This window comes from Homo sapiens, chromosome 13 (assembly GCF_000001405.40).
Source record: "Homo sapiens chromosome 13, GRCh38.p14 Primary Assembly".
In the NCBI taxonomy this organism is placed as follows: domain Eukaryota; kingdom Metazoa; phylum Chordata; class Mammalia; order Primates; family Hominidae; genus Homo; species Homo sapiens.
The window spans coordinates 98,687,472-98,711,270 of record NC_000013.11 but is presented as its reverse complement, the minus strand read 5'-3'; the positions used below and the strand labels follow the sequence as shown (position 1 = coordinate 98,711,270).

Sequence of the window (23,799 nt, the reverse complement as noted above, 5' to 3'; positions counted from 1 at the left end):
TAACCAAAGCAATTGGAAAGTGTTTGTTTTTAAAGATCAATCCTGGTTTACAGAATGAAAAAATAGCTATTGTTTCTCTTAGGAAATGGAGTTAAAAAAATATATATGAACACATGTGGTTTGAGCAGGGAGGATGGTGATAGGGATAAGCCATTGCTTGGGAGAAATGTGAGTGTACACATTCATCTCCTCATTTTAAGTAGGAGATTGAGATGTGTCAGACAGACCCGGGAGGCAGTGCTGCATGCGGACAGGAGCCGGTCACTGGAAACACACTCCTCACCTGGTAGCTGTGAGACTTGAGTCACTGTAATAACCCTTAACATTTTCCAAAGGGTGCTAATCACCCTCCGCAAGGCTGTGAGGGTCCAGTGTGAGAACATCCATAAGGTACTCAGTGACTGGCCTGTATGAAGAACTCAAACAGGGGTAGATTTCTTTTTTTTTTTTTTTTTTTTTTTTGAGTCAAGAGTCTCACTCTGTTGCCCAAGCTGGAGTACAGTGGCACTATCTTGGCTCACTGCCACCTCCACTTCCCAAGTTCAAGCGATTCTCCTGCCTCTGCCTCCTGAGCAGCTGAGATGACAGGCACCTGCCACCACATCTGGCTAATTTTTAGTAGAGACGGGGTTCTGCTGTGTTGACCAGGCCGGTCTCCAACTCCTAACCTCAGGTGATCCACGCGCCTCGGCCTCCCAAAGTGCTGGAATTATAGGTGTGAGCCACTGCACCTGGCCAATTTCCTGACTTTCTATGATGTCTTTCTAGTGGAGTTGATGGATTCATACGGAAGCATTTACATGTTTAGTCTTCCATAGACATAATCATATTTACCTGTACAGTCCTGTGTCCTCTTTCACTGTGAAATAGGTTGACTGTAAAGGGGCTGCCCAGGTATAAATCCACCACTCTCTTGATGGAGATCTAGGTGCAGCCAGCCTAGACTGTCAAAATGGCTGTTAACAATAATATTTGTGAATCTTGGATGGCAGTGAATATGGACCATCTGCAACACGCACAGCTACTTTTACCTTGCAGACGATGCCATGCTTTCCAACGAGCCTCAGAAATGCATTTTTGTATTTCCTAGGGATAGCTTCATCTCAGGGTACTGCTTTGTGCAGCTTCAGGAGGGGTTGGAGCACTCCGTATTGTGTTCACTCGTACGCTAGAAATGCAACTGGTTTCTTTTGACCTAGTATTATAATAGAGCTGGGAGATTAACTTGATGTTTAAAACAACTTTAAATCCCATAACATGTCAGACCTCATTCCTGATTTGGAAAAGACTCACCATTGACTTGTAAAATTTTAAAAACCCACATCCCCAAATAATACAGCAAATGTATTCATTTTTAAGGGCTCCAGGTGGACACTGCAGGCAACAACTATGTCCGGGAAAATCGTAAGTTTGACTCCTTTGTTTTAGTTTCTTTGTCCCCTTTCTTCTTCCCTTTCATGACATTTTTCACTGAGATTGTTTTCCTCTCTTTTTAGGGAGCTCTTGAAATTCAGCCCGATCAGATGCAGGTAGAAGACATGTAAGTTGCTTTCAGGGATCAGAGTCGTCTTTGAGACAAGCTTAACATTTCTCCTCCACTTCCTCTGCAGACCGTGAACGCCATCCTGATCGTGATCATGGTCCCGATCTTCGATGCTGTGCTGTACCCTCTCATTGCAAAATGTGGCTTCAATTTCACGTAGGTGACGGGTGGGTTGGGTTGGTTGAGGCTCCCTTGGTCCCAGGGCTTTGCAGATGGGCTGCGCTCAGCCTGCAGCCCTTCCCGCAACCTCGCCTAGAGGATAGGGTTTTGAAGAATGAAGAAAACAAATGTTCGTGTGCTGATGTTTCTGAAAATGTTCTTTAAAATAAAAATGCTGTGATTGACAGCCTGAAAAGGCCTTTAATCAAGGCTTTCTTCTCTACGCAGATGATAGGAATGGTCATTGTAATCTGGAGTATCACCTGAACCATAGTTTCTAGAAATTAATGTAAATATACAGGCCAGGCACAGTGGCTCACGCCTGTAATTCCAGCACTTTGGGAGGCCAAGGCAGGCAGACCATTTGAGGTCAGGAGTTCGAGACCAGCCTGGCCAACATGGCAAATTCCCATCTCTACTAAAAATACGAAAAATAAGCTGGGTGTGGTGGCACTCACCTGTAATCCCAGCTACTCTGGAGGCTGAGGCATGAGAATTGCTTGAAGCTAGGAGGCAGAGGTTGCAGTGAGCTGAGATTGTGCCACTGCACTCCAGCCGGGGTGACAGAAAGAGACTCTGTCTCAAAAAAAAAAAAAAAAAAGTAAATATGCAAACAAGAAGCTATATTCCACTTATCCTCCTTGAATCCTCATGAATCCATGACCAAGATGGGGAGAGGTGCTTTCAAGCCCATGTTTTTGGAAGGAATTTAGTTTTGTTGGGGGGATGGTGGGGGTGGGGGTTTAGCTTAGCTCATCTATGTGAAACTGGTTGAGAGTCACTCTTCTCTTGTGCCATCAGCTCCTTGAAGAAGATGGCAGTTGGCATGGTCCTGGCCTCCATGGCCTTTGTGGTGGCTGCCATCGTGCAGGTGGAAATCGATGTGAGTTGTCCCCTGGTTCTCCCATGTCCTTTCCTGGTGGATTTAGGTGGAGCGTTCAGAATCTTCTTTCTTCAGCATGAAGGGGATTAGGGGAGGCCAAGGTCTTTCTCTGTAAACTGAGCCCTGGAGCTGTGGGCAGTGGGAGGCACCATGGGTGTGAGGGTACAGTGGGTGGGCTTCAGCAGGGGAAAAAGGCTTACATAAGTAGCTTGCATTTATAATACAGTTTTTATAATGGAAAAGAAGTTTACAGAATGTGTTCCTTCACAATCTGAACTCCCAGGGAATCTGGTTAAAAGAAGTTCATCACTTACAAACAAGCATCACTTCAAATGTGTGTAAATGGTCTTTTTGATGTGAGAATGTATTTTGAATTCTAGTGTTTCTAAAAAGGATTGGTTTCTCAGTTAATCCACACATCTATTGGACTCGCAGTGGGCTAAACTAGACTAATGCTGGTAGTCTGAGATCAGTTCCTAGAAACAGGGTTATGTGGTGGGTAAGGGTCTCTTCCCTCTCCCCACCATTCCCCACCACTTCCTCCCTCTCTTTGCCTCTCTCTCTCTGTCTTTCTCTCGTTCCTTCCCTCCCCCACCCTTTTAATATCTTTGTTTATATTTTTAAGTGAAAGCAAGTTTATTAAGAAAGTAGAGGAATAAAGACTGGCTACTCCACAGGCAGAGCAGCTCTTTTAATATCTTTAAATTTAAAAAAAACTAATTGCAGTAAATATATATATATATAACATAACATTTACCGTATTCTTTTTTTTTTTTTTTTTTTTTTTTTTTTTTAAACAGGGTCTCACTCTGTCGCCTAGGCTGCTGGAGTGCAGTGGTGCGATCATGCTCACTGCAGCCACACCTGGGCTCAAGCGATCCTCCCACCTCAGCCTCCTGAGTAGCTAGGACTGTAGGCATGCACCACCACACTCGACTAATTTATTAAAATTTTTTTGTAAAGCCAGGGTCCCCCTGTGTTGCTCAGGCTGGTAATCAATCCTCCCACCTCAGCCTCCCAAAGTCCTGGCATTACAGGCATGAGCCCCCATGCCCGGTCACATATTAACCATTTTTAAGTGTACAGTTCAGTAGCGTTAAGTACCTTTCCATTGTTGTGCAGTCAACCTTCAGAACTCTTCATCTTACAAAACTGAAATTCTGTACCCATTAAACAACTCCCATTTCCCCTTTCCCTAGCCCCATCAACCCCCATTCTACTTTCTGAGTCTATGAATCTGACTACTCTAGCACTTCCTATGAGTGGCATTATATGGTATTTGTCCTTTTGTGACTGGCTAATTTCACTTAGTATATTGTCTTCAAGGTTCCTCCTGTTGTAGACTGTGTCAGAATTTCCTTCCTTTGTAAACTGAATACTAAACCCATTGTGTGTATACACCACATTGTTCATCCATTCACCCCCGACAGGCACTTGGGTTACCTGCACCTTTTGGCTATTGCAAACAGTGCCGCCATGAACATGGCTGTACTCACGCTCCTCTTGGACATAGCTAGCTTTGTGGAAGATGAATTGTGGGCTAAGGTGGACATGGCTTGCTTCAGTGACACTGGGTTTTGAAAGAGGGCATTGTAGAAAAAAGACAAAAACTCTGAACAAAGGTATGGAGGCAGGAGAGCATCAGGCATTTGTGAGATGTGTACACTGCTGCGTCTAGGGCTGGGGACTGGGCTTCCAGACTTACAGTAGAACACTGGAGTCGGGTGACGGTAGATCTCAGGTGTCATGACAAGAAGGATATTTGTTTAGGTTATAGTGACTCAGAGCCATCAGATATTTGGCTTCGTATCTTGGCAGCCCTTGACCTGGAAGTGGCTAGATAAGATAAGAGCAGCATCTTTCTGACTCGTTCACGTATTAGTCCATTCTCATGCTGCTGATAAAGACGTACCCAAGACTGGGTAATTTACAAAGAAAAAGAGATTTAATGGACTCACAGTTCCACATGGCTGGGGAAGCGTCACAGTCATGGCAGAAGGTGAAAGGCACATCTTGCATGGCTGCAGGCAAAAAGAGAAAGAGAGCCAAGCGAAAGGGGTTTTCCCTTATAAAACCATCTGATCTTGTGAGTCTTACTCACTACCACAAGAACAGTACGGGGGAAGCCACCCCCACGATTCAGTTATCTCCCACTGATTCCCTCCCACAACACCCGGGAATTATGGGATCTACAATTCAAGATGAGATTTGGGTGGGGACCCAGCCAAACCATATCACTTCAGTATTCCGTGCAAAAGTCATTTCTGTGGGTGCCACGAGGTCTGTGATTGGCAGCTTAGTGGGAGACACCTGGCGTGTTTCAGCCAGCGCAGCTTTTCCCAGCTGGAGGAAAGCACCCCCTTGTCAGGGTTAAGATGACTTTCCATGTTGTATTGAAGACCTCACTGCCAATTTTCTTTTATTTTGCTCAGAAAACTCTTCCAGTCTTCCCCAAAGGAAACGAAGTCCAAATTAAAGTTTTGAATATAGGAAACAATACCATGAATATATCTCTTCCTGGAGAGATGGTGACACTTGGCCCAATGTCTCAAGTAAGTAGAAGGAAATTGCTGCCTTCTTTTTCATCTTCTGACCCTGTTATAATAGGATTTAGAGAAGCTGTTTTTCTTGGTCCTTGTATAAATGCCAAGGCCAGCCCAGAAGTGAACTAAGGATCTTGATCTCATGTTGGCTATATTCTAAACCAGTGTGCTCCACACTATGTTGTTTGTTGTGTATGCAGATTGCCCAGGGAGCTGGTTAAAATGCAGAATTTTTTTTTTTTTTTTTTTAGATGGAGTCTTGCTCTGTCACCCAGGCTGGAGTGCAGTGGCAAAATCTTGGCTAACTGCAGCCTCTGCCTCCACAAACGTTCAAGCATTTCTTCTGCCTTAGCCTCCTGAGTAGCTGGGATTACAGGTGTGTGCCACCACACCCAGCTAATTTTTGTATTTTTAGTAGAGACAGGGTTTTGCCATGTTGGCCAGGCTGGTCTTGAACTCCTGACCTCAGGTGATTCACCCACCTCAGCCTCCCAAAGTGTTGGGATTACAGGTGTGAGCCACCATACCCAGCCAAAATGCAGATTTTTAATCAGCAGGCCTGAAATGCTGCATTTAACTAGCTCTCAGGAATGCTGCTGCTGCTGGAGCCTGGAACCACCAGATCAAGGATCTAAACTGGGGGAGATTTTGATGCTAGGGGACATTTAGCCATCTCTGGAGACATTTTTTGTTGTAGCAACTGGGAGTATGCTGCTGGCATCTCATGTAGAAGCCAGGGATGCTGACATACAGCTCTCCATAACAAAGATTACGTGACCCAAATGTTCACAGTGCCAAGGATGGAAAACCCTGCTCTAGATCACCCTTGTTCTGGATTCGTGGTACTCAACCTCCAGCCCATGTCAGAATCACCCGGAGAGCTTTGAAAATTTTGATACCTGGGTCCCAGCCCCAGAGATCCCTTTTTTTTTTTTTTTTTCTTAAATACAGAGCCTCACTCTGTCGCCCAGGCTTGAGTGCAGTGGCGCTATCTTGGCTCACTGTAACCTCTGCCTCCTGGGTTTAAGCGATTCTCATGCCTTAGCCACCTAAATAGCTGGGATTACAGGCATGAACCACCACACCCAACTAATTTTTGTATTTTTAATAGAGCCAGGATTTTGCCATGTTGGCCAGGCTGGTCTCAAACTCCCGTCCTCAAGAGATTGGCCTGCCTCAGCCTCCCAAAGTGCTGGGATTACAGGCATGAACCACCGCGCCCAGCCCTAGCCCCAGAGATGTTGAGATTTAGCCAGTCTCGTTCCTGTTTAGCCATGGTTGAGCACCACAACCTTAGACCTTGTGAAACTAATAATCTTGAAGGTAAAAACAAAAAGCCCGATTCCTAATGCTTGGAGCAGCCCAGTATTGATTTTTACCAGGGCTGTTGCTTTTGCTCTGGTGCTGTTCTTTGCCTAACAGTAGAAATTATTCTCATAGTATTTATTTTTGATAAAAGCAAAATAAAAGTAAGATGCTTGGTGAAAAGTATGGTTCCTGTGGTGGTACCAAAAACCTCATGACGGTGTCTGTAAGGGTGGGTGGGAAGCTGAGGCAAATAAAGGCCAACTCCCCACAGGCATTTTTTTGGTATCTATGAACATGAACCTGGAAATGCAGAATATCAGATAACTGCTCTTCCAGCGTTCAGTTGCATAGTGCCGAGACTCTGTGATATTAACTATGCCTCTTTCCCTCCCTCTATAGACAAATGCATTTATGACTTTTGATGTAAACAAACTGACAAGGATAAACATTTCTTCTCCTGGATCACCAGTCACTGCTGTAACTGACGACTTCAAGCAGGGCCAACGCCACACGCTTCTAGTGTGGGCCCCCAATCACTACCAGGTGGTAAGTGTGTGAAGACCTACAGCTGACTCTTTGCTATTTGTGATACTGGAGGCCAAAATTTTTATGGTGTGACTTTGTTTTACTCCCATATAGTGTTATATTAGATCATCCTCAATTTCTTCCTTCTTCTGGAACACAAGACTTCAAGAACACCTGTCAGACTTCCAATAAAAGTATGACTGGTGGATAGTAAAAGTTAATATTAATTGAAATTTCTAAAAAGACAACTTCTGGACATTGTATGGGGTCTGTGCACAGATGTGCATGCGTGTGTGTACAGAAGTCACACAGAGTACATATGTGAATTCTCAGGGACTTTTTCAGATAATTTAAAATATATAATTAATTGCACTGAATTTAAAAATTTGCACTAAATAGTCAGAAAATTAGAGCAGTCTCTGAAAAAGTATAATAAGCCTACCAGGTAAAAGCAATAAAATACTATGCATACAAAATATTTGATGAGAAAATACAGAGATCTAAATATGTCATTCGCACATAAAAAGCTGTGAAACCTAGCCTGGACAACGCAGTGAGACCCCTGTCTCTACAAAAATTTTAAAAATTAGCTGAGTGTGGTGGTGCATGCCTGTCGTCCCAGCTACTTGGGTGGCTGGGGTGCGAGGATTGCTTGAGCCCAGGAGGTAGAGGCTGCAGTGAGCCATGTTCATGCCAATGTGCTCCAGCCTGGGTGACAGAACAAGACCCTGTCTCAAAAAAAAAAAAAAAAAAAAAAAAAAAAAAAAAAAGCAGCAGCAGCAGCTACAAAGGTATAGTTGAGCTAAATGAAAGAGTTGTAGAGTTGTGGGCATTCTGTAAAGTGCATTTCAGTGAGCTTCTACGGAACTGCAATATGGAATTAAGACTCTTGGTCATTTGCTTAATTAGGGAGCTGCTGAGTGGCTTGTTCTAAAGTTTTGGACAGTAGTGTTCTGTGGAAGCACCGGCAACCAATGATCAAAAATTGTAGAGGCTCATGTTAGCTTTAAAGAAAATCAAGGCTGAAGAAATGGAGCCCTTCTTCTTTCTTCTTCCTTCCTTCCTTTTCTCTCTTCTCTTTTCTTCTCTTTTCTCCTTCCTTTCCTTCCTTCCCTCCCTCCCTCCCTCCCTTCCTTCCTTCCTTCTGTCCGTCCATCCATTCTTTCATTCTTTCTCTTTCTTCCTTTCACTTTCAACAGGATCTCACTATGCTGCCTGGCTGGTCTCAAACTCTTGGCCCCAAGAGATCCTTCCAAAGCTCTGGGATTTCAGGCATGAACCACCATGCCTGGCCCAGAAACCCTCTTTTTCTTTTCTTTTTTTTTTTTTTTTTTTTTTTTTTGAGACAGGATCTCCCCCTGTTGCACCATCTGGAGTGCAGTGGCATGGTCACAGCTCACTGCAGCCTCGACCTCCCAGACCCAAGAATAATTTTCAACAAATGATTCTCCCTCCCACGTCAGCTTCCTGAGCAGCTACAACTACAAGTGTGCATCACCACACCTGGCTAATTTCTAAGAGAGACAAGGTCTCACTGTGTCTCACAGGCTGGTCTCAAACTCCTAAGCTCAAGTGATCCTCCTGCCTTAGCCTCCCAAAGTGCTGGGATTACAGGTGTGAGCTACTGTGCCCGGCCTCCAGAGCCCTTCTAATGTAACCATGTCCTTAGGTCCTAGGATAAGTGTCAATACCACCTTCTCAAAGACTGAAATATTCATCTGAACTCATTCTAATGAATATTATTTTGAAAATATTTTTACATTACTGTTTTCTCTCTCAGGTAAAGGATGGTCTTAACCAGAAGCCAGAAAAAGGGGAAAATGGAATCAGGTATGTATATTTCTTTAAAATTTAAGTTTTATCAGATTCTTATGAAAGTAATGCATACCCATAGTAAAGTCCAAATGTAACAAGGATATAAAATGAGATTATAGGGTTTGTCCCAGCAATGTAAGGCTGGCTGAATATTCCCCAAAAAAATCAATCCATATAACCCATCATCTTAGTAAACTCAAGAGGAAATTGTACGTCATCTTATCAATTGATTAAAAAAAGCATTTGATAAAATTCAGCATCCATTCATGACAAAAACTCTCAACAAACTGGGAATAGAAGGGAACTTCCTTACCCTGAAAAAGGACATCTACAAAAGCTTGAGCTGATATTATGCTTCATGGCGAAAGTCTAAAAGCTCTCCACTAAGATCAGGAACAAGGTAAGATTTTTCCACTCTCCGCACTTCTATTAAACATCCTCTGGTTGCAAGAGCAAAGACACAAGAAAAAGAAGTAAAAGCATCTAGATTAGAAAGGAAGAAATAAAAATATTTCCAATTGGCCGGGTGTGGTGGCTCACACCTGTAATCCCAGCACTTTGGGAGACTGAGGCAGGTGGATCTCTTGAGCCCAGGAGTTCAAGACCAGCCTGGACAACATGGTGAAACCCTGTATCTAATAAAAATTTTTAAAAAAAATAGCCAGATGTGGTGGCACATGCCTGTAATCCCAGCTACTCGGGAGGCTGAGGCAGGAGAATTGCTTGAACCTGGTAGACGGGGGTTGCAGTGAGCTGAGATCGTGCTGCTGCACTCCAGCCTAGCCCACAGAGCAAGACTCTGTCTCAAAAAAAAAAAAAAAAAAAAATTAGCTGAGTATGGTGGTGTGTGCCTGTAATCCCAGCCACTCAGGGGGCTGAGGTGGGAGGATCACCTGAGCTTGGGGAGGTTGAGGCTGCAGTGAGCCATGATCCTGCCACTGAACTCCAGCCTGGGTGACAGAATGAGACCTTGTCTCAAAATAAATCAATATATATATATAAATAAATAAATTTCTACTTTATAGATGACAATTGTTTATATAGAAAGTCCCCAGGACTGTACCAAAAGAAGCTCACAGAATCAATAAGTGAATTTAGAAAAGTCACAGGACACAGGACAAAAACAAAATCCATCACTGTTCAATGTACTAGCAATGAAGAGTTGGAATCTGAAATTTTACAACTATTTCATGTATACTATCTCCCCCCACAGAATATGAAATACTTAGATATAAATCTAACAAAATGTGCAGGATTTGAGTGGTGAAAACTACAAAATTGCTTATGAAAGAAATCAGTGAAAAGCTAACTAAATGGAGAGACAGCTGTATTCATTGATCAGAAGATTTAATATAGTAAAGATGTCATTTTTCCCCAAGCTGACCTGTAGGTTTATTGCCATTCCTATCAAAATCGTAGCATTATTTTTATTTGCTTTTATAAAAAAGCTGCTTCTAAAATGTATATGGAAAGGCAAAGGAACTAGAATAGCTCAAATAATTTTGAAAAAGAATTAAGTTGGAAGAGTCTTACTACCACTAGTTTTCAAACTTACTATAAAGTTACAGCAATCAAGACAAAATGGTATTGGCAAAGAAATAGACCCATACATGAATGAATAATCCAGACCCAACCAACTGATTTTTGTCAAAAGTGCAAAGACAGTTCAATGGATTAAGGGAAGTATTTTCAACAATCAGTGTTGAAACATTTGAACATTCATATGTAATAAATGAACTTGACCTAAACCTCAGATCTTATACACAATTCATACATAAAAATTATATTAAATTCTTACACATCTTATATGAAAACTCAAAATTGATTCTAGATCTACAAGTAAAATGTAAAACTATAAAATTTATACAAGAAACATAAACTCTTGTGACTTTGGGTTCTTAGATATGACATCAAAAACACAATCTATAGAAGAAAAACTTGATAGAGTTCACCAAAACTAAAAATGTTTGTTCTGTCGATGTCACCCTTTTTTTTTTTTTTTTTTTTTTTGAGACAGGGTCTTGCTCTATTGCCCAGGCTAGAATGCAGTGGTGTAGTCACAGCTCACTGCAGCCTCATCCTCCTGGGCTCAAGTGATCCTTCTGCCTCAGCCTCCCAAGTAGCTGGGACTACAGGCATGTACCACCACACCCAGCTAATTTTCACTTTTGGTAGAGATGGGGTCTCACTATGTTGCCCATGCTGGTCTCAAACTCCTGAGCTGAAGCAATCCTCCCACCCCAGACTCCCGAATTGCTGGGATTACAGGCATGAGCCACTGTGCGGGCCTACACTAAGATTTGAATACAAATTTGAATACATGTACCCAGCCAATATCACTCTGAAGAGAATAAAAAGATTCACTATAAACTGGGAGAAAATATTTAGAAATCATGTATTTGACAAAGAACTTGTATCCAAAATATGTAAAGTACTCTAAAAGCTCAATGTAAATAGAATTATACAGTGTGCAACTTTTTGAGGCTGGCTTCTTTCACAGCAAATCTGTATAATCTTAATTTAAATTTAATTTTATATAACCCAATTAAAAACGCAAAAGATTTGAACAGCTATGTCACCAAAGGAGATATACACACATGACAAATAAGCACATGAACAATAGCATTGGTCTTATTAAGGGAAATATAAATGAAGACCACAATGAGTTACAACACACCTATCAGGTGGCTGTAATAATTGTTTTAACCTTGACAATACCAAGTGTTGGTGAGGATATGGGGCACCTGGAACTCCCCTGCATCGCTGGTTGGAGGACAAGATGCTGTAGCCCCTCTGAAAAACAGTTTGGCAGTTTCTTATACAGGTAAACACTCACCATGTGACCCAGCCATCCCACTCCTAGATATTTACCCTAGAGAACTGGAAACTTGTGTTCACATAAAAGCCCACACATGAATGTTTATAGAAGCTCTGGTTATAATCACTGAAGATGGGAAATCACTCAAATGTCCTTCAATGGAGGATGCATAAACACCCACCACTCAGCAAAAAAGGGAACAAACTTGATACAACGATGTGAATGCATTTCAAATGCATTGTGCTGTGGAAGAAGCCAGCCTCAAAAAATTACACACTTTTATTTCTTAAACATTGAGGGTGTGGGGAGGGGCTGGTCCCACCCTGGGCTGGAGTTCCTTTTCTCACACCTGTGATTGGAGATGTGGAGAAGGGGAACAGAGGGACAGCTCACTGGTTCCTTCTGCCATAGCTCTGTGGTTAAAAATGGAAATTGTTCTCTTGCCCAGTCCCACTCCCCCAAAAGAGTGGCATTGACAGAATAATTGTATAATTCCATTTACATGACATTCGCAGAAAGCCAAAAACTCCAGGGACACAGAACACATTAGTGATTGGCGTGGGTTAGGAGTGGAGGAAAGGTTTGACTATGGGGTAGCACAATTTTGGGGTCTACGTATTCTGATCGTGACAGTATTTATAAATCAAGATAATGTTAAAATTTATATAGCACTGTGCACCCCAAAAGCCAATTTACTATAAATAAATATTTAATAAGAATAAACTGGGGGGAATGAGAGTAGGTATCCTGTTCACCTCAACGTTCAACCCCAGTCTCCAGTCCCCTGTAGCTACAACTTTGATAATTCCTGATTTTAGCTTTTACTAGTTGGCAATAAAACACACAGTAATAGTATATTTTGTATACTATTAATATACAAAAGTATACAAAAAATATATTAAGTATATTTTGGGACAATGTCTATTAACTTACGAATGTAGGCTGGGCATGGTGGCTCATGCCTGTAATCCCAGCACTTTGGGAGGCTGAGGTAGGTGGATCACCTGAGGTCAGGAGTTCAAGACCAGCCTGGTCAACATGGTGAAACCCTGTCTCTACTAAAAATACAAAAATTAGGCATGGTGCATGTGCCTGTAATCCCAGCTACTCGGGAGGCCGAGGCAGAAGAAATGCTTGAACATTTGTGGAGGCGGAGGCTGCAGTGAGCCAAGGTTTTGCCACTGCACTCCAGCCTGGACAACAGAGTGAGACCCTGTCTCCAAAAAAGCAAAACAAAACAAAACCAAAAAACAACTTACTAATACAAATGGTGGTGAAATGGACTTTTACTTTTCATCTCACCTCCTGTTTGCTTCACATTGTTAATATTTATTAGATTTATGTTTCTGTTTTCCCTGTGCTAGGCTGAGTCTAAATAATAGATCCATAAACAGGATTTACAATATGACCCTATAAATATTATTTACAACATAATAAAGTGTGATCAGTCTGCAAGAGAAAATGTTACTTTATATCCTTGAAAATGTATCCCTCAACTGAAAATGTCTTGACTATCCAGGTGCGTTGGACTCTCCTATTACATTGATGAATTGCTCAGCGGTGCCCATCTTGATTGCTTTCATTTCACCAAGGCTTTCTTGCACAGCTTCTATTTTTTTTCCCCGTAACCTAGTTGGCCTCTTGTTAACAAAAACATAAGCCTTTACCCAGTCTCCAAGGTTACCAGCTTCCTAATTATACTATTATTCTGGGAATCCACTTTTCCTCCTGAAAAACCAACTCTTCAGCACATTCTTTGAGCTAACAGGAGCACTGGCTCTGTCGTCCTGCTGAACCACTATCCTGGTAGAATTTTTCACTGTGTGCCAGGTTAATGCCTTTCTTTCTTGGATTTTATGTCATCTTTCTCAGCCTTCTTTCTACTTTTGCGGCAGCGTATGGCCAAATATCTTGTCAAGAGAAAACGAGGTCAATTCCAAGTTGTTGCTTGCCTGAAATTGCCTTTTTATATTCTCACACTTGGATCATTGGCTAGACACCATTTTCTTCCATAACTTTGGAGGCTTGACTAAAAGATTTAAAAAAAAAAAAAAAAAAAAAGCATCAGCCAGTCTTTGTGGTTGATTTCCATTTCTGCTCATCAAGCTTTCAGTGTCTTCTTTCTCTTTGGTGTTGCCAAATTTCTCTGCAGTGTAACTAAACATGGCTATAATTGTATTCATCTTGCCAGCAAGAGGGTCTTCCATTTTTTTTTTGTTCCTTCGTTCCTCTTCTTTGTTTCCTTCTCCATGAGGTCAGTAGGGCTGCCATGACAAAATAGTACAGGCTGAGTAGCTTATGTACATAGAAATTTATTTTCTCAGGCCAGGAGCAATGGCTCACACCTGTAATCGCAGCACTTTGGGAAGGCGAGGCAGGCAGATCAGGAGGTCGGGAGTTCAAGATCAGCCTGGCCAACATGGTGAAACTCCGTCTCTACTAAAAATACAAAAATTAGCCGGGCGTGGTGGTGCGTGCCTGTAATCCCAGCTACTGGGGAGACTGAGGCAGGAGCATCACTCGAACCCAGGAGGCAGAGGTTGCAGTGAGCCAAGATCGCGGCACTGCACTCCAGCCTGGGTGACAGAGCAAGACTCCCTCTCAAAAAGAAAAAAAAAGAAAAGAAATTAATTTTCTCACAGCTCCAGAGGCTGGAAGTGTAAGATCAGGATGCCAGAAGGGCTGGTTTCTCCTGAGGCCTGTCTCCTCGGCTTGTAAATGCCACCTTCCCTCTAGGTCCTCACATGGCCCTTTCTCTGTGTGTGGCTGTGTCCTAATCATCTCTTCATATGAGAACACTTGTCACATTGGATTAAGACCCATCCTAATCACCTTTAAAGGAGGAAACCCTTTAAAAATCTCTCCAAATACAGTCCCTCTCTGAGGTACTGGGGATTAGAGTTCCAGCCTGTGAATTTGAGAGCGACACCATTCAGCCCCTCACCCCTTCTCCCACCTCTCTGGGATCATTCCTGTCCCCCACACGTGCTCATACACAGCTGCCATGGCTGATCTGGAAGGAAACACACTGACAGTGGTCACCCGGTCCTGTCCTGGTCTTTGTATTTGATTCTGAGCTGGAAGCACCTCTGGAGTTTCCCTTTCGCCTCAGAATGTGGTTTCCGTTGCTTTACTTTCTTCAGGAATGTTTCCTAACCTTGGAAACTTTGAGCAATTGATATTGGGGGATCCTTTCTTGTTTTGGTGTTGTTAAAGCTTCTTTTTTTGTTGTTGGGTTTTTTTTTGTTGTTGTTGTTTTGTTTTGAGAGGGAATCTCACTCTGTCATCCAGGCTGGAGTGCACTGGTGCCATCTTGGCTCACTGCAGCCTCCGCCCCCGGGTTCAAGCAATTATCCTGCCTCAGCCTTCCGAGTAGCTGGGATTACAGGCACATGCCACCACGCCCAGCTAATTTTCATATTTTTAGTAGAGACGGGGTTTCACCATATTGGCCAGGCTGGTCTCGAACTCCTGACCTCAAGTGATCCGCCCACCTCAGCCTCCCAAAGTGCTGGGATTACAGTTGCGAGCCACCGTGCCCAGTCCCAAAGCTCCATTTAAAAAAATTGTCTTCAAAGAGATCTTAGAAAAGAAGACAGACCCACGAGATTAGCAACACTTGACTACCCCACCCATGTGGTAAAAGATGAACTGGAAGCTTTTTTCCTTTTAATTTTAATTGGTAACATCAAATCTTTAATGGATCAAAGGTTTTATTATTTCAGTGAGGCTCTAGGGAAAAAACACAAAAAAGGAGAAGTTCTAGAAAACTGGTGTCAGAAAATAACAGAGAAATAGAACAACGGAGAATCTCAGGAAGTCAGACTTCTGAGCAATATGTGAATTAAAGGAAGAGTATATACTATTTTAAGCAAAATGGAATCCTTTGACTATGTGGTATCAGTAAGCTGCAAGACTTAAGTGATTAACTTCAGGAGAACCTTTTGAATAAAGTGGCAATGCATCAGCCAAAAATTGGGCTTGGGCAGGGCTCGGTGGCTCAAGCCTGTAATCCCAGCATTTTGGGAGGCTGAGGTGGGCAGATCACCTGGGGTCAGGAGTTTGAGACCAGCCTGGCCAACATGGTGAAACCCCATCTCTACTAAAAAATATAAGAACATTAGCTGGGCATGGTGTGTGCCTGTAATCCCAACTACTCGGGAGGCTGAGGCAAGAGAATCACTTGAACCTGGGGCACGGAGGTTGCAGTGAGCCAAGATTGCACCATTGCACTCCAGCCTGGGCGACAGAGTGGGACTTCTGTCTTAAACAAACAAACAAAAAAAACTGGGTCTGGCATAGCAGTGCATGCTTGTGGTCCTAGCTACTCGGAAGGCTGAGGCGGGAGCATTACTTGAGCTCAGGAGTTCGAAGCCAGCCTGGACAAAATAGTGAGACCCTGTATCTAAAAAATAAAAAATAACTGGTTGAGAGTTTGATAGTGATCTTTCTCATGCACTTTTTAAATGTTATACATTGTTCCGTATGTATATGTCTATAAACAACACGTTGTTAAGCACATTTTTACACTAAATAGGAAAGTGAGTGTCCTGCATGCATGTCATTCTGCAATGTTATAAATAATGTTAGAAAATATTTTATTTTAGTATTTAGCCATATTGATATATGCATCTCTTTTTTTTTTTTTTTTTTTTTGAGACGGAGTCTCACTCTGTCACCCCGGTTGGAGTGCAGTGGTGTGATCTTGGCTCGCTGCACCTCCCAGGTTCAAGCGGTTCCCCTGCCTCAGCCTCCTGAGTAGCTGGGACTACAGGTGCATGCCACCACACCCAGCTAATCTTTTTTTGTATTTTAGTAGAGACAGGGTTTCACCATGTTGGCCCAGATGGTCTCAATCTCCTGATCTCGTGATCCACCCGCCTCAGCTTCCCAAAGTGCTGGGATTACAGGCATGAGCCACCATGCCCAGCCAATGCATCTTTTATCCATTCACTTAACCACTGTATAGTATTCTATTACATGGATATACTGCAATTTATTTATTCATTCCTTCTAGTCAAAGACATTTAGATGATTCTGATTTTGCCAAACAATGCCAAAATTCACATTCTTACCTGTTTCTTTGTCCACATGTATGAAGTTTCTCTAGGGCAGTGATTTCTTTAAAACTTTTTGTCACATGTAATGAAAATATTTTGAGCATGCACCCACTATGTATGAGTATGGTATCCTTTATAAATTATATATATAAACTGCATCAAATTAATGTACTTCATAAATAATGCAAAAAATAAATATAAAGGGGATGAGAAAAGTTTTCTTAAACCAATATTTTACAAATATTTTTATTCATTAGTGGTACAGAAATCATTAGTGTAGATAATGTGGTTGAAATATACTTTGTTCATTTCTAAAAATCTCAATGTAAGATTTGAAAACAGCTATGCAAAGGTCTGGCTTTAAGTTCAGTTCATTTCAATGCTTGTTTTTCATGACTGTCATACTGAAAAAGATACTTCAAGAAGGGAGTATCGGTGGGGCATAATTGACCATAATTTGATGCTTTAAAAAGATTTCATCTATATATTGTGAAGCTTTCAACCATGGGTGCTAGGACCACTGGATATCCACATGCAAAAGACTGAAGTTGATCCTCTCCACAGAAATTAACTCAATGGATCAAAGACTTAAATCCTGAAAGATTTAGGGGGTAAGCAATTGGTGAGGGAGGCCACCTGGGGAGATATGTGGCCTTCTATCATTGTGGAAGCTGGCTTACTGTGAGACTGTGACACAGGGTTGTAAAATTACAGCTATCTGAGAACAAAGGGAAGCCAGTATTGTGTGACTCTGTTCCCAAGCTTCGCTTTCCCTTTGGCATAGTGATTTTGGGGTCCTGAGGTTCTACTTCCTTTCACATAACCAAAACAATGAAATTTATAGAAGAAAACCAAAACCACAAGTGACAAAAAAAGGAAAAAGAATTTGGGCTTCATAAAAATTGAAAACTTTTGTGCTGCAAATGGTGTCATCAAGAATTGAAAGGACAACCCACAGAATGAGAGAAAATATTTACAAATCATATATCTGATAAGGGACTTATATCCAGAATACATAAAGAACTCTCACAACTCAGTACTAAAAAGACAACCCAATTTTTAAAATGGGCACAGTATTTAAATAGATATTTCTTCAAAGAAGATATCCAGTCAATAAGCATATGAATATATGCTCCAAGTTTTTAGGGAAATTTAAGTTAAAACCACAATGAGATACCACTGCCTACCTTCTAGGTTCTGATCAAAAAGATAGGCAATAGGCCAGTCGCAGTGGCTCACGCCTGTAATCCCAGCACTTTGGGAGGCCAATGTGAGCAGGTCACCTGAGGCCAGGAATTCGAGACCAGCCTAGCCAACATGGTGAAACCCCATCTCTACTAAAAATACAAAAATTAGCTGGGCATGGTGGCAGGTGCCTGTAATCCCAGCTACTTGGGAGGCTGAGGCAGGAGAATCGCTTGAACCCGGGAGGCGGAGGTTGCAGTGAGCTGAGACTGTGCCATGGCTCTCCAGCCTGGGCAACAAGATTGAAACTCCGTCTCAAAAAAAAAAAAAAAAAAAAAAAAAAACGTAGACAATAACAAGTGTTGTTAAGGATGCGGGTAAACTGGACCCCTTGGCTGGGCATGGTGGCTCATGCCTATAATCCCAGCACTTTGAGAGGTCAAGGTGGGCTGAGTGCTTGAACCCAGGATTTCAAGACCAGCCTGAGCAATATGGCAAAACCCTGTCCCTACAAAAAAAGACAAAAATTAGCCAGGCATGGTGGTGTGTCCCAGCTACTCGGGAAGCTGAGGTGGGAGGATCACCTGAGCCCCGGGAGGTCGAGGCTGCAATAAGCCATGTTGGTGCCACTGCACTGCAGCCTGGGTGACAAAGTGAGACTCCGTCTTCAAACAAACAAACAAATAAATAAAAATTAGTACCCTTATTCATTGCTGGTGGTAAATCTAAAATGGTACAGCCACTTTGAAAAACAGTTCTTTGAAATGTTAAACATAGAGTTTTACTACAAAACTCAGCAGTTTCACTCCTGGGTATATAACCATGTTGACCAAAATTACGGGTGTTGAGGCAGAAATAATTTGATTTATTGGAAGCCAAATGTGAGGATCAACCTGGAAAGAGACATCAGCAAAGTAGGGCATGTCCCAGAGTCTACTGCAAGTTGGAAGACTCTTATAAGAAAGTTTAGGAAGACCGGGTTTAGTGGCTCATGGCTGTAATCCCAGCACTTTGGGAGGTGGAGGCAGGAGAATTACTTGAGGCCAGGAGTTCAAGACCAACCTGGGCAATAAAGCAAAACTCCCTCTCTGCAAATATAAGAATTTAAAAATTAGCCAGGCATGGTGATGCACTCCTGCAGTCCTAGCTACTTAGGAGGCTGAGGTGAGAGGATTGTTTGAGCCCAGGAGTTCAAGGCTGCAGTGAGCCATGATTGCACCACTGCACTCCAGCCTGGGTGACAGAGTGAGGCCTTGTCTTAAAAAAAAAAAAAAAAAAAAAAAAAAAAAAAAAAAGTTTAGGAGAAGAGAGGGGGACTCCTCATATTAGAGCTTTCCATTTTCTTTTTTTTTCTTTTTGAGATGGAGTTTCGCTCTTGTTGCCTAGGCTGGAGTACAATGGTGCGATCTCGGCTCACCGCAACCTCCACCTCCTGGGTTCAAGCGATTCTCCTGCCTCAGCCTCCCGAGTAGCTGAGATTATAGGCATGCACCACCATGTCCAGCTAATTTTGTATTTTTAGTAGAGACGGGATTTCTCCATGTTGGTCAGGCTGGTCTCAAACTTCCGACCTCAGATGATCTGCCCACCTCGGCCTCCCAAAGTGCTGGGATTACAAGCGTGAGCCACCGTGCCCCGCTCAAGCTTTCCATTTTCATTGGAGGTTATAATACAGAGGTTATGATCACTGGCTACAGATGACAACATATGGGCTAAAATGTTTTACCACAAGAAAGTCAGTAAAACGTCATGATTCAGAAGCAAATCTGCATCCTTTTCAGTGTTAGTGGGCTACGTATTAATCAGATATCAACACAATAAGATTGGAGGGAGTCACTCTTTACTCACAGACAGGCTATACGCCATGTATTGTGAGACCTTCCTCAGGTGGTTGATTTGGAAGCCTGCCAAATGTGACATGTGAGGTGTCACCCAGAAGAGATGAAAACATGTCCACACAAAAACTTGTGCATGCATGTTCATTGCAGCATTATTCACAATAGAGAAAGCGTACAAATAAATCCAATGTCCATCAGCTGATAAAAGGTGGTATATCCATATGATGGAATGTTAGTCATAAAAAAGAATGAAGTGGCCGGGTGTGATGGCTCACGCCTGTAATCCCAACACTTTTTGGGAGGCCGAGGTGGGCAGGTCATGAGGTCAGGAGATTGAGACCATGCTGGCTAACACATCCCCTCTCTACTAAAAATACAAAAAATTAGCCAGGTGCGGTGGCGGGGGCCTGTAGTCCCAGCTATTTGGGAGTCTGAGGCAGGAGAATCACTTGAACCTGGGAGGCGGAGGTTGCAGTGAGCCGAGATCGCACCACTGCACTCCAGCCTGGGCAACAGGGTGAGAATCCATCTCAAAAAAAAACAAAAAAGGAATGGAGTACGGATACATGCCACGATATGAACGAATGTGAAAGACAATATGCTAAGAGGGATGAAGCTGGTCACAGAGACCTGCATAGAATGATTCCATTGACATCAAGTGGCAGGCAGAGCCATGGAGACAGAAAGCAGATGAATGGCTGCCAGGGGGCCAGGGAGGAACGAATGGGAGTATTTAGACATGTTTAGATGTGCAAATCCTTACCATTGTGTCACAGTTGCCTCCAGTATTCAGTGCAGCCAACGTTGCACAGGTTTGTAGCCTCGGAGCCAAAGGCCACACCCATGCAGCCTGGGTGTGTGGTGGGTGGCACCGTCTAGGTGTGGGTAAGTGCCCGCTGTGAGGTTCCCATCACCACTGAATCGCCTCCGGACGCATTTCCCAGACCCCATCCCCATCATTAAGTTACTCGGACTGTGTTTTCATTTCTTGTCGCACCAGCCCTAAGACATAGGCCAGGCAGCTCAGAATCCTCTAGCCTTAGGGATGGTTTCATTCAGAGTCTGATGGCTGATAAGTTATAAAGCCAGGCCTCAGGCCCAACGTTCTGCTTCCTCGGCTTCACTCTGCCCACATGCTCTCTTTTGTGTGGGTGATCTTCATCTTTGATAAAAGCAGCTCTTACAGTCTAGAGCAGTGGGAATTCTAGCTAAGGCCCGTGTGGATCTGTCTCAGGTTCCATTTTCCATATTAATCAGCTATCAAATGACACCAAGTAGAAGGCCTCGGGACTTCAGGACCTGAGTTTAATTCATAGCCATTTTCTCCCAGCACCTAAAATTTGATCAGTATTATTTGTTGCCACAAAACTGATGAAACTTGGCCCCACATTTTAGCCATGGAAAGGTTAAATTATTCTTTACACTGCTGAGGTGTACACTAGTAAGACTTATTGTTCTCTACCCTGGATAATCTGCTCTAGGCCTTCACTCATGTGTTTGGTAGGAAAAGTCAACTGGTCTTATTTTGAGCAACACCGTCCTGGTCACTAGGGTTGTATGAGAGTTTCAGGGTCGTCTATAGCCTGGAACAGCTATGAAAGGGGTCTGTAATCAGCCATCCGTGCTGTTCACCATCTGTATGGTCCTATGAAGGCAAACAATTCACCTGCTTCCATATGAAGCGTAGCCTCACGGGACTTTGTAGAGATAGGAAGCCTTGGACCTGGAAGTCGGTCTTATTGGGTATCCATTCAAAGCTGTATTCCAGCAGGATGCTGACCACTGTCACTCCAGGACCACACAGGCCTCCACCCTCTGAAGGGGATTCCTTAAAGCTGTCTCTCAGCCTGGTATAATGACTCATACCCATAATCCCAGTGCTTTGGGAGGCTGTGGAGGGAGGATCTCTTGAGGCCAGGAGTTTGAGACCAGCCTGGGCAACACAGCCAGACCCTTGTCTCTACAAAAATAAAAATAAAAATTAGCCAGGCATTGTGGCACACACCTGTAGTCCCAGCTACTCAGGAAGCTAAGGTGGGAGGATCACTTGAGGCCCACAGTTCGAGGCTGCATTGAACTGTGATTGTATCACTGCACTCTAGCCTGGGCAACAGAGCAAGACCTCATCTCTAAAAAAGACTGAAAAAACCGTCTCTTGTTACTGGGCTGGCCCACTTCTTCCTCTCCAGTCCCGGGTGCCCTTCCCCACCTGAGGCTCCTAGAGGTAGGAAGTAGGTGGGCTTTCCTCCTCAACCCCCTAAAGAAGGGGGTGTCGTTTAGGAACTGGGGTCTATCTTTTAGGAACTGGGCAGCATCTGGTTTTGGTCTTTCACTACTTGAGCGCTAAAGTTTCTGGCCAGGCGCAGTGGCTCCCACCTGCAATCCCAGCACTTTGGGAGGCCGAGGTGGGCAGATCGTCTGAGGTCATGAGTTCAAGACCAGCCTGGCCAACATGGCGAAACCCCACCTCTACTAAAAATACAAAAATGAGCCGGGTGTGGTGGTGCATGCCTGTAGTCCCAACTACGCGGGAGGCTGAGGCAGGAAAATCGCTTGAACCTGGGAGGCAGAGGTTGCAGTGAGCCGAGATTGCACCACTGCACTCCAGCCTGGGTGACAGAGCGAGACTCCATCTCTAAATAAATAAATAAAGTTTCTGAAACAAGGAACACAAAGGCACGGCTACCTTCTTGAAGGGAAGAGGCTCAGTATCTACTTCAGTCCCTGCTTAATATTCCTAATGTATTGAACTAGGTTAGATTTACAAAGTACTTAGAGCAGTAACCAGCACATATAAACACTGTTAAATACATTCTTTTAGGTGTGTTCTCATGAGTGGGTGAGCAGGGATAAACCCAGAGTTTTTCACTTTTTGTCTTTATTCTCTAGAAATATTCTGAAAACATCTTAAACTCCTTCAAAATAGGGAGTATTGCCCAACTTCAGGTGCATGTACTGTGACCTAGAATATATTATTCTCTAGTTCAGTTACAAGACAGATGGTTTTCTGTTTCAGATTTGTAAATACTTTTAACGAGCTCATCACCATCACAATGAGTGGGAAAGTTTATGCAAACATCAGCAGCTACAATGCCAGCACATACCAGTTTTTTCCTTCTGGCATGTAAGTACCGAGACTGAATGCTTCACTCAAAGGTTCAAGAATTTTTCTTTAAAAAATGCATTGAAATTTTTAATGCCAAGAATGTTAACCAATATTATTCTTTATTTTGATAGAAAAGGCTTCACAATAAGCTCAACAGAGATTCCGCCACAATGTCAACCTAATTTCAATACTTTCTACCTTGAATTTGGTAGTGCTTATACCTATATAGTCCAAAGGAAGGTTAGTAACTCGTTTCATTGTATCAGAAGATCTGCTCATACTCGATTGATATGAAGACTCACAAACACTTAGGACATAATATGATTTAACTAGAGTGATATTAGGATCTGTATTTTAAATGGGCTTAGAATTAATTTGCTTGGCTAATTCTTTAACTTATTGATGACTTAATCATTAGAATCTAAACAGACTGACTTCCCCTGGATAATAATTTATGTTAACCAATATCTGATGCCTCCTTCTAGACTATTAACATGGACTTAAAGAACTCATAGTTCAAAGAGAGGGCAGTGTTTTAAAATGACTTCCAACCTACTCTCTTATCTAAAAGAAAAATCCTCCTGAACGTGTCTTCAAATCCCATTGCAAGTGTAAAATGCAGTGTTGCCTTATGTTTAAAATGTGTACGTACTTGACAAATCATATGATGTAATCCTAGAAGGTCAAACTCAATTTACCTGTTCGAACAGTTTTTATTTTAGAAGCTATCTCAACTTCTTCTGCTTTTGCCTTACTGCTGCAGAATGACAGCTGCCCTGAAGTGAAGGTGTTTGAAGATATTTCAGCCAACACAGTTAACATGGCTCTGCAAATCCCGCAGTATTTTCTTCTCACCTGTGGCGAAGTGGTCTTCTCTGTCACGGGATTGGAATTCTCATATTCTCAGGTTTCTTGTTTGTTGTATTTACCACCCATCTGCAATACCCCTGCCTGCAGAAAATGCTGATGGGACTTAATTTAAATCTGGGATAACTATATTTTTTAAAAAGTCTAGA

General features: G+C 42.7%; 1 protein-coding gene across 1 annotated transcript in view, besides 1 other annotated feature; it reads left to right on the top strand.

Annotated features, from left to right (window-relative positions):
* The window catches only part of SLC15A1 (solute carrier family 15 member 1), a 68,872-nt gene that overhangs the window by 41,402 nt on the left and 3,671 nt on the right, over window positions 1-23,799 (top strand). The window contains exons 12-21 of the mRNA NM_005073.4: window positions 1,360-1,404; window positions 1,497-1,529; window positions 1,611-1,699; window positions 2,504-2,585; window positions 5,018-5,137; window positions 6,836-6,982; window positions 8,742-8,791; window positions 22,694-22,801; window positions 22,915-23,023; window positions 23,547-23,690. Of these exons, the coding sequence (NP_005064.1) occupies window positions 1,360-1,404; window positions 1,497-1,529; window positions 1,611-1,699; window positions 2,504-2,585; window positions 5,018-5,137; window positions 6,836-6,982; window positions 8,742-8,791; window positions 22,694-22,801; window positions 22,915-23,023; window positions 23,547-23,690 (927 nt within the window). The remainder of the gene's footprint in view (window positions 1-1,359; window positions 1,405-1,496; window positions 1,530-1,610; window positions 1,700-2,503; window positions 2,586-5,017; window positions 5,138-6,835; window positions 6,983-8,741; window positions 8,792-22,693; window positions 22,802-22,914; window positions 23,024-23,546; window positions 23,691-23,799) is intronic.
* Window positions 3,367-3,416: a silencer, noted in NCBI's record as "silent region_5461". NCBI's record gives its function as "represses an Ori minimal core promoter by ATAC-STARR-seq in GM12878 lymphoblastoid cells {active_cell/tissue: GM12878}" and the evidence as "EXISTENCE:reporter gene assay evidence [ECO:0000049][PMID:35858748]".